Source organism: Homo sapiens, chromosome 19, assembly GCF_000001405.40.
Source record: "Homo sapiens chromosome 19, GRCh38.p14 Primary Assembly".
Lineage (NCBI taxonomy): Eukaryota > Metazoa > Chordata > Mammalia > Primates > Hominidae > Homo > Homo sapiens.
In genome coordinates, this window is record NC_000019.10 from 46,464,621 (window position 1) to 46,478,977 (window position 14,357).

General features: G+C 49.6%; 1 protein-coding gene across 3 annotated transcripts; it reads right to left on the bottom strand.

Moving 5' to 3' along the window:
- Positions 1 to 1,882: 1,882 nt before the first annotated feature.
- Positions 1,883 to 6,943, bottom strand: PNMA8A (PNMA family member 8A). 3 transcript variants are annotated; one of them, NM_001103149.2, is made up of 3 exons: positions 6,717 to 6,943; positions 5,318 to 6,494; positions 1,883 to 3,957 (listed from the first exon to the last, which is right to left on the bottom strand). In NM_001103149.2, exons 2-3 carry the CDS (start codon positions 6,413 to 6,415, stop codon positions 3,919 to 3,921), a joined length of 1,137 nt encoding a protein of 378 aa, NP_001096619.1. In that variant the 5' UTR covers positions 6,416 to 6,494; positions 6,717 to 6,943; the 3' UTR covers positions 1,883 to 3,918. The 3 variants fall into 3 exon arrangements, with proteins under 3 accessions (NP_001096619.1, NP_060685.2, XP_011525369.1); NM_018215.4 differs by having other exon boundaries at positions 5,113 to 6,494; XM_011527067.3 differs by having other exon boundaries at positions 5,042 to 6,494.
- Positions 6,944 to 14,357: the final 7,414 nt, after the last annotated feature.

The window sequence follows — 14,357 nt, forward strand, 5'->3', positions numbered from 1 at the left end:
CCACGATGACTGTTCCCTCTGCCCAGGAGGCCGTTCTTGGCCAACTGCTTGTCTCACCCCTCACCCCCTTCAGGTCTGTTCAGACATCCAGTTCCCAGAGAGGCTCCCCCAACCATTGTAAGCGACAGCCAGCCGTTTCTGCACACTCACCTTGCCTGCCTATCTTCCTGTTATATTTTTCACGGCAGAGCTCCCCACCCCTCCACCTGTGTCTATATAAGGTCTGTCCTCACTCAAACGTCAGGCTCCAGGAAGCCAGGACTCTGTCTTGCTCCTGGCTGTCGTACAGCAGATTCTCAACGAACCTTGCTTGAATGGCAGCATGGGCAACCAGGACACTTTGCCCTCGAGCCCTGCTGGTGGCATCCACAGCTCTCCATCTTCCTGCAAACACTCCGGGCCAGCGCCTCCCCAGACGCACCCCTGAACAGAACACCTCCACCCGGGGCGATGAGGTTTCTTTGAAGAGAGCTTTCATGTGCCCCAACCTTGGATTCCCCCCATTTTTAGGGCACGTAGGCCTTTCATACTTTACTGACAGCCTGGGTGTAACCAGTAGGAGTGACTATTATTGTGGGAGGTACTTAAACATCTTGGTCAAATAGGGCTTTTCCCATTGTGGGGGTGTGGGGGCACCCAATAAATAGAGCTTCATCCAGATGCTTCTATGAGTACACGGCAGTTCCTAACGAGCTCCGCGTCCTCAAATCCCAGCTTCCCTTTTGGTCTCTTTCGCATCTTTCCTCATAATCTCCATTCACTTTCACAAAACCTCAACCTGGACCCCTAAGGACACTTCCGTTTCCCCAAGTCTGAATTATTCCACCTGAAGCTCTCCAACCTGTATTATTAATAGAATTCTTGGCTGGGCGTGGTGGCTCACGCCTGTCATCCCAGCACTTTGGGAGGCTGAGGTGGGCGGATCACGAGGTCAAGAGATCAGAGATCGAGGCCATCCTGGCCAACATGGTGAAACTCCATCTCTACTAAAAAAAATACAAAAATATTAGCTGGGCGTGGTGGCGCACCCCTGTAGTCCCAGCTACTTGGGAGGCTGAGGCAGGAGAATCGCTTGAACCCGGGAGGCAGAGGTTGCAGTGAGCTGAGATCATGATACTGCACTCCAGCCTAGGAGACAGAGCGAGACTCCGTCTCAAAAAAAAAAAAAAAAAATTCTCAGGAGAAACTGTTTAAGACGCAGATAACTATGTACAACCCCGAAGAGATCCTGAATCAGCAGGTAGAGCCACGAAATGGTACCTTGAACAGATTCCAAGTGACTGATGTAGTGGCCACCCTGGTTCAGGAGTTCCTGGGGAGGGGCAGGGGAGGGCCAGAAGAAAACTATATTTTTAGCTAAAAGACCTCAGCTTCTGGCTTGGCATGGTGGCTTACACCTGTAATCCCAACGCTTTGGGAGGCCGAGGTGGGCAGATCACTTGAGCCCAGGAGGTAGAGGCTGCAGTGGGCTGAGACTGTGCCACTGCACTCCCACCTGGGTGACAGAGCGAAACTCCATCTCAAAAAAAAAAAAAAAAAAAGACCTTGGCTTCTGTGTGAGGGAATAGGAAGGGAGGGAAAGGTTTTCATTTTCCAGCTGTTTATAAAAAAATAAACTGGTACTTTGAGGTAATTTGCGTCACCAGATACCTATTCTAGAAACCCCAAGATCTGTGGGACATCCTTCCACATCAGTGGAAAGCCATTCGCAAAGAGGACAAACGGCTTCTTCTCTCATGGATCATTAACAATTCTCAAAGCTTGAACCCGTATCTGATAACCAGTCACATCTGGCTGGGGGCACTGTTTGAGGAAAGGGGAACCCTTTCCTCAAATTTAATAGTCCATGCAATCCTCACCTACAAGAGACTTAACAGGACACTTAATTTGCTAAACTTTATTTTATACATACACGTTTACATTTACTAGTCATGGTGTCAACTTGTTAACACAACGAAGCCCTAATGGACCCGTTTTGAAATTAGAAGCTGGACAGTTACAGGCTTTGGTCTCTTCAAGAATCCAATTCACCCCTGGGTTTCGCTTGGCACACACCCCAGGAGAACGTCGATGCACACAGCTGTGTAGCTGCAAACGGAAACCACTCTCTTTTCTCTCGTATTTTTCAGTCAGACTCACTCAGGATTTTGAAATGAATCATCACGAGAAATTTGTTTTAAAGTTGAATCACTGAGAACATCTAACAACTGTTCACATTCTTTATCACAAAAACTGAAGTCGGAAAAGACGCCCTGAAAACTTGCAAGGGCTAATACTCTATGATAGAATATTACTACTGTTCACCATGTTAATACATTTACTTACTACCATACACCTGAACAGTCACGGCAGAACAAGAGCATGTGAATGACGAAAGGAAACTTGCTTTCAGGGTGTCAGATTATAGAACATGCACAGGAATTTCTTCCACTTCTAACCTCGCTCATCAGTCACATTTACAAGAAACTCAATTTTAAGCAAAGAGATGCCTGAAATAACTAAGACGTGTACAAAAACAAGTTAACCTATGAACACAAGGTAATATTCTGATAGTCTTCGATGTGACTTCCAACATATCTGAGTAGTCACTTTTCAGTTTTTTAAACACGTGAGAAAAATAGATTTGGATTACATCTTTGTGGACGGCTACGATACAGTTTGGAAACCATTATCTCAGGGACCCTGCTCTCTCCTCTACACATGCGCACGCAAACACACACACACACACACACAATGACACATGGTGGTCTGGTCTAATATAGTGTGTCTGAATTCAGAGGGCAGACATTAACAGCCAAGTTTTGTTTTTTTGAGAGAGAGTCTCACTCTGCTGCCCAGGCTGGAGTGCCGTGGCACAATCTCGGCTCATTGCAACCTCTGCCTCCTGGATTCAAGCAATTCATCTGCCTCAGCCTCCTGAGTAGCTGGGATTACAGGCGCGCGCCACCACGCCCAGCTAATTTTTGTAGAGATGGGGTTTCACCATGTTGGTCAAGCTGGTCTTAAACGCCTGACCTCGTGATCGACCTGCCTCAGCCTCCCAAAGTGCTGGGATTACAGGCGTGAGCCACCGTGCCCGGCCAACAGCCAAGTTTTAAAAGATTTTTTTCCCCTCTTACTATAATGTGAGTAGTGACCTTCTGCTGCAAAGATGGTGACAGTTTGGTGCAAAGATGGTGACAGTTGGGTAGATGGATGGAATTAGAGCTGGGGACCTAGGAATGCCTGCGTCCTTCCCTATAATCACCCCCCTTCCCCACAGGATTCCTGAGAGGGCTCATCCCAAATGGGAATCAAAGTGCCATTTTTACTAACAGACTCTAAAACTCAAAGACTTTGAGGTCTAGGCAGACATTCTTTTTCCCTAAAACTAACTCTTGGGACCTCCTGGCTAGATAACTGGAGGATGGAAGCTGGAGACTGAAGGAGCAATAAAACCAGGTTTGCAGCGAAGGTCCTGGCTTAACTTACCCCGCTGGTTACACGAGAGGAAGGCGGGAGGAAGAATATGGCAGGGCCACCCAGCTCTTCCAAATGCCAGGGCCTGCAGAGGTCGCTGACCATTCCGAGGAGGGAGCAAGGCGTGGGGGAGAAAAGCTGAACATGGATGAGTGTAACAGTGACCCTGCTCATGCATAAAGGGGAATGAATGTTCTAGAATTTTCCCAATCCTCTTACCAACTCTCCTGCCTCCGAAGAGAAGGTGAGTAGAGAAGGCGGTGAAACGGCAGGCCTGGTAGAGAAAAGGGCATAGAGATCCACCTCCCTTCCCCAACTCCCTCCCACCCAAGACCTCACCTATCGTTTACCTCAGGGCCAGATCTCTATCAACAGGGGCCCTAAGAGAGTCCAAAGTCTTATTCAGTGACAAGAGAGAACTTGGTTGACTTGGTACTTCTTCCTTGTTCTTTCAACTCCTCAGTATGGGTGGTCCCCCAGATCAAACCTTTCTGGATTCTGCAAATAAATGAGAGAACAGATCAAGAAGGGAAGCAGAGAGGTGTCATTAGGAAATGCATTACTTCCAAGAAATTTCTGGGTCCCTGAACATTTCTATTCCCCAGCCAGGTCTCTAGAAAACTTCACCCTTAAAGCCACATACCCTGCAAACACCATAACTCCAAAGTATTAATATTTTTTTTGGGGGGAGGGGGGAACAGGGTTTCACTCTATCGCCCAGGCTGGAGTGCAGCAGTGTGATCTTGGCTCCCTGCAACCTCCACCTCCCAGGTTCAGGGAGGGTAAGAGCCCAGACCGCCCTTCCAGGAGCCCCTGAAGGCCGATGCTGGAGACATCTGGTGGGCAGATGTCTGGAGGCCAATCCCAGGCCTTGGCCTCCCCAGTAGCTGGGATTACAGGCACAAACCACCATGCCCAGCTAATTTTTGTATTTTTAGTAGAGATGGGGTTTCACCATGTTGGCCAGGCTGGTCTCGAACTCCTGACCTCAGGTGATCTGTCTGCCTTGGCCTCCCAAATCATTAAATTCTTTTTTTTTTTTTTGGAGACAAGAGTCTCACTCTCGTCACCCAGGCTGGAGGGCAGTGGCACAATCTAGGCTCACTGCAACCTCCACCTCCCGGGTTCAAGAGATTCTCCTGCCTCAGCCTCCCGAGTAGCTGGGATTACAGGTATGTGGCACCACACCCGGCTAATTTTTTGTATTTTTAGTAGAGACGGGGTTTCACCATGTTGGCCAGGCTGGTCTTGAACTCCTGACCTCAGGCGATCTGCCCACCTTGGCTTCCCAAAGTGCTGGGATTACAGGCATGAGCCACCAAGCCTGGGCCCAAACCATTAAATTCTCATCAAGGAAGATGGGTCAGATGGAGTGGCAAATGACCACAGTGACACTCATTGTGGGTTTCCTCTGCCACCTCCTGCCCACCAGATGTCTCCAGCATCGGCCTTCAGGGGCTCCTGGAAGGGCGGTCTGGGCTCTTACCCTCCTCAACTGGTGTGTCATCCACCTCCTGCCATGCACCAGGGTCCTCCTCATCACCCGCTTGACCCACCACCTCCTCGGGCTCCTCTGCCCCACCTGCCACTCCTGCTCCTCCTGCCTCATCCACTTGCTGGCACGAGCCCAGTCACTTCTGCTATCATTCTCACCATTGGTGGCACGCCGAGGAGAGCCTTCTGGCTTGGCCTTCGGACCCCTAGAGGTTGAGGCTGTTGCCTCGGCAGGCTGCTGGCCCCGAGGGGCCTTCTGATCTGATGCCTCCCTTCTTGAGCCTGGCCCTTTCTTTGGCATCACCGGCTTCTTCCTGCCATCTTCTGAGTCAACCAAGACGTAGGAGACAGGGCCCAAGCTCACCTTCTTCTTCTTCCTCATGGGAGCGGGGTTCTTGGCAGACACCCAGGCCACGGCCTTCTTCTTTGGTGGGCTTTCATGGCCACCATCTTGGTCTGACTCAGAGGCGCCTCCTGGGCTCTCGGCTTCTGCCCGGGCATCCTGAGGTGGCTCTCTGGGACCCTTCCAGGCACATTTCGCCATGGGCTTCTTCAAAGCCAACTCCTCCTTATTCACACAGGGCTTTCTGCTGCCCTTGATCGGCTCTGAGATCGCCATGCTTTCAGCATCACCCACCTCAGGATCCTCCAAGTTAGCTGTGCTGTTGGAATTGATGCCTTTGGGTTTTTTCCAGGGCACTGCTTCCTGCCTGGAGTTCTTCTTCTGCTTCTTTCTCCTGGAGCGAGACTTAGCTCCAGCCCTGCGAACCAAAGGTTTGGTAGGCTCATGCTGGTCTTCCGTGGCATTCCAGTTGTTGGGGGTCTCTGCCTTTAAGGCAGAACCCACCTCTGCTGCAAGCCCCGGTTCTTTCTTCACCTTCCTCCCTGCTGCTAAAGCCCAGGCTGCCATCTCCTCGAATTCAGCGGCCTCCTGGGCCCTGGCTTCCTCCCGGCTGCGGATCTCGGCATCCATGCAGAAGATGATCTGCACCACTGCTCCCAGAAGCACCCCCAGAGCTTCTGCCCAGTTCTCTGGGGGCTGATGCTGGTTCTGGGACAGGGTGGGGTGGTTGAGCTGGAGCAGGCGGACCACATCCTCCCAGGTGCGCCCCTCGGCATCCAGGAATTCATTCAGATTTTTTAAAAACTCGGCATCCTGGGTAGGGTCTCTACAGACCACTCTCCAGACACCACCCCTTCCTGGGAATTCACGGGGGATGGTGCTCAGATTCACACCTTCACCAACCTCAATGAGGGCAGCTTTAACATTCTCTTCCCTCACAAAAATCTTGTTGAGCACGCGGTACGGGCCCAGTGGGGAGAGGACCCCATTCAAGGTCTCCTCAATTTCTGCCTGCCCACAGTCCTCTGGGATGCCTGTGACCAACAAGGACCTGTGGATGTCCACTTCCATTCCCCTGCACCAATCCTCCAGAAGGTTCATCGCCATGGTCTTGGACATTTAGCGGCTCTGAACCTACTATGTGTAGTAAATAGTCTATCAGGTGGACGTGGGCTGCAGCGGTCTCCAAACAGTAATCCTGCAAGGTGACAAGGGAGCGAGGTCACGTTCCCAGGAAGATGACCAAGCTCACAGATCCTAGCTGCCCCCTCCGCGGCTGGCCTGCAGGAGGCCTGGCGCTTTCCCAACACCCTCCTCCCCAACCCAGGCCCCGGTGCTCACACGTGTCCCTGAATCTGCAGCAAAAGGCCCTAGGACCCTCCCCCGGGCCTGACGCTCCGCCTGCCCAGCCGGGACTTACTTGGCAGATCAGCCTCCGACCGCCCAGCCAGGCCAAGGAGACGCAGTGGAATGCAGCCGTTTCCCAGTCGCTGGCTCCGGCTACCCCGGCGCCGCTGCTAGAGGCAGAAAGGGCCAAGAAGGCGCCGTCCGCCCCCGCTCCGGCCCAGGCGGGTCACGGGGCGTCCAGACTCGATGCCGTTAGCGGCGAGAAGCCGAGGTTGGCGTCGCAGCGCGCGCCTGCGCACTGGCTCCCGCACCGCCGCTCGGGGGTCTTGGGCTGCGCAGGTGCCGACGTCTCCATGGCAACCGGGCGTGGGTTGCTAGGGCTGAGCCCGGCCGGCGCGCCGGCGCTGCAATTGGACCTAGGGAGCCGGGTGCAAGAGTGGCCTGTTCAGGTCGCAGAGCAAGCGGGTCTGGATACACTCCGGTGGCGCCTCCACGGAGGCCCTCTTTCAACCCAAGTGGGCCTCGCGAACGGGGGTTAGGTCGATGAGAAGCGCCAACACCTATGGCTGCACCCACTGACTGTATTATCCTCTGCCCCACCTGTTGGATTCACCCAACGCAACTCTTGGGAGACACTAGAAATCAAGAAAGGAGGAAAACGAGGCTTTAATCTTCTTGGGTTCCTCCAACAGCAGGTGCAGTTCCTGTTGGGCTTGTAGCCTTCTCTCTTACAAGCTGCTGGGTTCTTCCAGGAATTTCCAGAAACTTCTAGAAATTTCTTAGTCTCCTCCCCGACCCCTTCTAGCATGAGGATAATGCCTCGCCTTTTCTTGTTTCCTCAACGTGATTCAGGGCAGGTTCTTGGCATCCTCCAGGCAGGGGACAATGTTACAGCTCAGTGACTGCCCCTACAGAGAAGTGTTAGTCCAAACTGCAACCATTTTGTAAGCCCTGACTATTTTGCAGATCTTGGTCAAAGTGAAATATTCCACGGGGGTTCGGGCCAATGAGAAACATCCTGCCTAATCACCTGACCACAAGGCGGACAAAGGCCCAGCTAAAGAAACATTATCATACCCTATCGTGCAAAGGCCCAACTGAAGAAACATCCCTATCATATTCTGCTGGGAGAAAGTGCAGAGAACACCACATTCCACCAGAACAAGGGCCAGAACCGCCTCATCATGGAACCATCTTATCAACATCCTGCTGGGCAGCAAACCATACTGCTCAGACCCCTCCCACCCATAACTATAAGTACCCCCAGCCTATAAGCAGCAGTGGGCTCTGGCATTAGGCTGGTTACCCACTTCCACAGGTGTCTGCAGTATACCTGAGTTGCTGTTGAGCCGCCTTCTGTCTGTGTGTCTTTAACCCTCACCTTCCCTCCAAAACCTAACAAGGAGGGCTACCCTCTAGGCAGTGTGCTGAGAATAGCACCTCGGGGCAAGGCTGCAGTCACATTTATACCCACTTTTAATGACGTGCTAATTAAGGGGTGGGTTTTCAGAATTAGCAAATTGGCAGTAACTTATGGGTGTTGCCATGGCAATGGTAAACTGTCATGGTGCTGGCAGGCATGTCTTATGGAGAGAGGCTTTCGGTGCCTTTTCCAGGTTTTGGCCAGTCTTCAATGTGATCCTCAGTGGAGTCCCCTGGGCCTCCTACCTCAACCTTGCTGCCCATGAGCAAGAACTTTGTTAATAGTTTATTAATGCCCAGTGCTGTGGCTCACGCATGTAATCCCAACACTTTGGGAGGCTGAGGAGGGCGGATCACTTGAGCTGGGGAGTTCGAGACCATCCTGGGCAACATGGCAAAACCCCGTCCCTACCAAAAACGCAAAAAATTAGCCAGGTGTGATAGGGGTCACCTGTGGTCTCAGCTATTCGGGAGGCTGAGGTGGGAGGATTGCTTGAACCCAGGAGACCCTGTCTCAAAAAAAATAAACTAATTAATTAAGCACTCCTATGAGACTCGGTTGGACTGGCCATCTGTTTTTTTTTTTTTTTTTTTGCCAGTCCCTCACTGATCCACCTACCAATGTCCCTTCCTGGCTGTGTGATCTTAGAGAAATAATTTGACCCCGCTGAGCTTATTTCTTTTCTCTGTAATAGGAATTCTAATAAAAAATCTTCCTGATTTGGAAGTTTTGAAGATTCGGGGGGATCTCATCTGAAAGATGCATGGAAGTACAATTTGGGCCTTGGTATTCAACCAAAATCTGTTCTTTGGGTTCATTTTTGAAACTGACATTTGCAAGGCCAAATAGCCAAATGTTCATTTCACTGTCATCTCTGGCATTCCTAAATTTGGGCATCATCAATACTTGTGTGATTGCCCAAGTTTCCATCATATTTTGTGCTAAAAAGTTGTGTCATTCAAATCGTTAACCTCTGATTATTCACATAATTCACACCGAATATTCCAATAAACACTCTAGCTATGATTAAAGTCTTTAAATCTCATGTGCTTTATATGTTGAAATTCTACATATCAGTGGAAGAATGAGTGTATATTTTTAGGCAGTGGTTTAAAAACATAGCCATAAATTCTCCGACACTTCTATTGAGAAGTGACGATCTGTGTCCCCTCCTCGTGAATCTGAGCAGACTTGTGACTACTTTAACCAATGGAGTTTAGTGGAAAGGAAGCTATGTGGCTTCTCAGACTATGTTACAGAAGGGCACGCAGCTTCTTCCTCATTCACTGGAACACTTTTTTTTTTTCTTTTTTGAGACAGAGTCTCGCTCTGTCGCCCAGGCTGGAGTGCAGTGGCGCAATCTCGGCTCACTGCAAGCCCCACCTCCCGGGTTCACAGCATTCCAGGTTGGGAAGAACAATGAACAATTTTTCTGAGAGATGGCTAATCACAATCCCCCATGGGCACAATGACCTCTTTCTGCATGTAGCCCCCTCCAGCATACCCCTATGAAACTTCCAGTCCCTGCCTTTTTGCAGACAGCCCCCTTCTCTGCTGTGCTGCCCATTGCAACCGTGCAATGTATTTTCATATCTTCTCTAATAAATCTGCCTTTCTTTACCTACAACTGTCTTGGTAAATACCTTTACTGCCCACAACACCCGCCGCACCTAGTCGTACCCGTGACAGTTGGGGGTGACTCAAATGACTGAGAGCTAGAATCATCTGGGAGTTTCTTCACTCACATGTCTGGTGCCTGGGCTGAAATCCTTTGAAAGCTGGGCTCAGCTGGGAAATGTTGATGGAAGCACTGATGTGGCTTGGGCTTCCTCACAGCATGAAAACCAGAGGGTAGATCGTTGAACTTCTTATTTGGAAGCTCAAGGATGCAAGAACAAGAGTGTTCCTGTGAGGCTGGGCGCGGTGGCTCACGTCTGTAATCCCACCCTTTGGGAGGTTGAGGCGGGTGGATCTGGACGTCAGGAGATCGAGACCATCCTGGCTAACATGGTGAAACCCCGTCTCTACTAAAAATCCAAAAAAATTAGCCGGGCCTGGTGGCAAGCTCCTGTAATCGCAGCTACTCGGGAGGCTGAGGCAGGAGAATGGCCTGGCCAACATGGTGAGCCGAGGCTGCACCATGGCATTCCAGCCTGGGGGACAAGAGCGAGACTTCGTCTCAAAAAAAGAAAGAGAGGCCGGCGCGGGCTCACGCCTGTAATCCCAGCACTTTGGGAGGCCAAGGCGGGCGGATCGTGGGTCAGGAGATCGAGACCACCCTGGCTAACATGGTGAAACCCTGTCTCTACTAAAAATACAACAACAACAACAAAAATTAGCCGGGCGTGGTGGCGGGCGCCTGTAGTCCCAGCTACTCAGGAGGCTGAGGCAGGAGAATGGCGTGAACTCGGGAGGCAGAGCTTGCAGTGAGCCGAGATCACGCCACTGCACTCTAGCCTGGGCGACAGAGCAAGACTCCGTCTCAAAAAAAAAAAAAAAAAAAAAAGTTACTCTAGAGAAGTATTTGGGACCCCCATGGGAATGAGATGCGTCTACCACCGTAACAGGAGGGACCTCTGCATCCAGGACATCTGGGTCCAGGAACGCTAGTAGGAGTGAAGGTAGAAAAATGAAGACGGGCTGGGCACGATGGCTCACGCCTGTAATCCCAGCACTGTGGGAGGCCAAGGCAGGCAGCTCACCTGAGATCAGGGGTTCAAGACCAGCCTGACCAACATGGAGAAACCCTGTGTCTACTACTAATACAAAAATTAGCCGGGCATAGTGGTGCATGCCTGTAATCCCAGGTACTTGGGAGGCTAAGGCAGGAGAATCGCTTGAACCCAGGAGGCGGAGGTTGCGGTGAGCTGAGATTGTGCCATTGCACTCCAGCCTGGGCAACAAGAGTGAAACTCCGTCTCACAAACAAAAAAAAAAAGTAAATTATTTTTTGAAAAATAAATATAGGTTAAAATAGTGAATTTTATGTTATGTGTATTTTACTACAAAAGTGAACAAATAATGCGTTACAGAATGGAGAGATGGGGGGCAAGGGAGGGAGAGAGATGCCTTCAGCTTTGCCTCAAAAGCCAGGTTTCAGCTTTCTGCAGAGCCAATATTCCTAACAGTCCTGGCTGCCCCTTCAGGAATGCCACCCAACCCCAGTGCATGAGCACAGAATCAAAGTTCTGGAACTTTCTCTTCAAAGAGAAAACAAAACATCTCAGTGTGTTTGAAAATTCTGCTAAGGATTTGTCAGACCAAAAAAAAATAATAATAAAAAAATAAAAGAAGAAGAAGAAAATCGTCAATCTAGACAGGATAAAAAGTAAATTTATACCAGCAGTGGATTGTAAAACATCATAACTAAAATGAAATGGAATGGATGTTTGCTGAATCTCAGAGGCTTTTGCTATGTTTGCCAAGTAGTTTTACAAATGCGGGAGCTTGTTTGTGATCCAGGCTGCAGACAAAGTTGCTGCAGTGGAAACTGAGTCACACAGTGACTCAGTTAGAATTAGACACTGTCTGTTTTTTCTTCTCTCTTTTTCAGTTATTTATTTTGGCATGCAAGGGAATGACAGACACTGAGTTTTGATAAATACTGGATTTTTAAATGCAATAATCCTCCAAGTGACTATCTCTGGGGAGAAGAAGAGGGCAAGTCATATGGGAGGTAGGACACAGCCTATTTAAACAATAATTTTGTTTAAAGATGTGTAAATAAATTTAGCATAGTATTAAGATTTAATAAAGAATGGCAAGGGATACATAAGGGTTAATTATATAAATCTCTTTTTTTTTTTTTTTCTGAGACAGAGTCTTACTCTGTCCCCCAGGCTGGAGTGCAGTGGCGCACTCAGCCTCCACCTGCAGGGTTCAAACGATTCTCCTACCTTAGCCTCCTGAGTAGCCGTGATTACAGGCACGTGCCACCATGCTGAGCTAATTTTTGTATTTTTAGTAGAGAAGGGGTTTCCCCATGTTGCCCAGGCTGGTCTCAAACTGCTGACCTCAAGTGATCCGCCTGCCTCGGCCTCCCAAAGTGCTGGGATTACAGACATGAGCTGCTGAGTCCAGCCAATAATGCTAAAAAAAAAAAAAAAAAAAAAAAAAAGGTGTAAATAAATTTAGCATAGTATTAAGATTTGATGAAGAATGGCACGGGATGCATGAGGATTAGTTATATAAATATCAATTCTTTTTTTTTCGAGACTGAGTCTCACTTTGTCACCCAGGCTGGAGTGCAGTGGCGCGACCTCGGCTCACTGCAGCCTCTGCCTCCTGGGTTCAAGCAGTTCTCCTGCCTCAACCTCTCAAGTAGCTGGGATTACAGGGACCCGCCACTATGCCTGGCAAATTTTTGTACTTTGTTTTGTTTTGTTTTGTTTTAAGACGGAGTCTCGCTCTGTCACCCAGGCTGGCTTGCAGTGGCGCGATCTCGGCTCACTGTAAGCTCCACCTCCCGGGTTCACGCCATTCTCCTGCCTCAGCCTCCCAAATAGCTGAGACTACAGGTGCCCGCCACCACGCCCGGCTAATTTTTTGTATTTTTAGTAGAGATGAGGTTTCACCATGTTAGCCAGGATGGTCTCGATCTTCTGACCCCGTGATCCGCCCGCCTCGGCCTCCCAAAGTGCTAGGATTACAGGCATGAGCCACCACACCCAGCTTTTTTTCTTCTTGAGACAGGATCTTGCTCTATCTCCCAGGCTACAGTGCAGTGGCAGGATCACAACTCACTACAGACTCAACCTCCTGGGCACAAGCGAGCCTCCTGCCTCAGCCTCCTGAGTAGCTGGGACCACAGGCATGCACCACCACGCCCAGCTAATTTTTAAAATTTTTTTGTAGGGCCAGGGTATCACTATGTTGGGTAAGATGGTCTCCAACTCCTGTCTCAGCCTCCCAAAGTTCTGGAATTATAGGCATGAGCCACCGTGCCCAGTCAATTCTCTATTCTTGACTTTGAGTTTGGAATATTCCACAATTTTTATTTTATTTTATTTTATTTTATTTTATTTTATTTTATTTTATTTTATGAGATGGGGTCTCACTCTGTCACCCAGGCTGGAGTGCAGTGGCTTAATCACAGCTCACCGCAGCCTTCATCTCCTGGGCTCAGGCAGTCCTCTTGACTCAGCCTCCCAGGTAGCTGGGACTACAGGCATGTGCCACCACACCTGGCTAATTTTGCATCTTTAGTAGAGACAGGGTTTCTCCATGTTAGTCAGGCTGGTCTCGAACTCCCGACCTCAGGTGATTCACCCGCCTCAGCCTCCCAAAGTGCTGGGATGACAGGCATGAGCCACTACACCTGGTTTTTTTTTTTTTTTTTTTTTTTTTTTTTTTTTTTTTGAGACAGAGTCTTGCTCTGTCTCCTAGGCTGGAGTACAGTGGCGCACTGCAACCTCTGCCTCCCAGGTTCAAGCAATTCTCCTGCCTCAGCCTCTCAAGTAGCTGGGACTACAGGCGTGCACCACCACACCTGGCTAATTTTTGTACTTTTAGTAGAGATAGGGTTTCATCATGTTGGCCAGGCTCTCAAACTCCTGAGCTCAAGTGATCCTCCCGCCTCAGCCTCCCAAAGTGCTGGGATTACAGGCATGAGCCATTTCATTGCATCTGGCCATGTTTTTGCCATTACTTTCAATGGCAAAAACTGCAATTAATTTTGCCTCAGCCTAAATATTATAAAGGTACAACTATGTGTGTATATGTGTGTGTGCGTGTGTGTGTGAAGTGGAGTCAGCTGCCTGCCTGCTCTCCCATTAAAGAGCCACAGTGATTGCTAGCTGATTTAAAAATAGTTCAAGCACCCTTAACAGGAATCATTACAGTGGTTTCCATGACAACACGATGTGCTGTGGTTTCCAAGGCAACAACTGGCACTGTGGTTTCCATGACAAAGCATCCCTGCAGCCCCAACCCTCCCCTCCATCTCTGCACTTCCAGTTTAGGGTTCTCCTTCCATCCTCTTCCGCTGTGTTTCACCTTTGAGTTTTTATTTTGCCCTGCTGTGTATGTTCAGTGAGAACCCACAGAGTTTCCATAAACACTGAACCCAAAGAAAGTCCAGGGGGCTCTGGGATCCCGCCTAGATGTTTCCTCCTGAGTCAGTTGCAACAACCCATCATGGTGGTTCTGTGACTCAACCTGGCTGGCTCTGTCCAATTTGTTCTGTGAGAGCCCCTTCTTGCTGCAGAGTTTCCTTTTTTAAATTATTTTTTTTCTTTTCTTTTCTTTTCTTTTTAATTGAGGCAGAATCTTGCTCTGTCACTCAGGCTGGAG

What these genes read in the sequence shown, in the direction of transcription:
- PNMA8A (XM_011527067.3), bottom strand. Translation starts at nt 6,415, where the DNA reads ATGTCCAAGACCATGGCGATGAACCTTCTGGAGGATTGGTGCAGGGGA. An exon ending in AGGAGGAGCAGGAGTGGCAG is followed by an intron (nt 3,958 to 5,041) that starts GTGGGGCAGAGG and finishes ATTTATTTGCAG; the next exon opens with AATCCAGAAAGGTTTGATCT.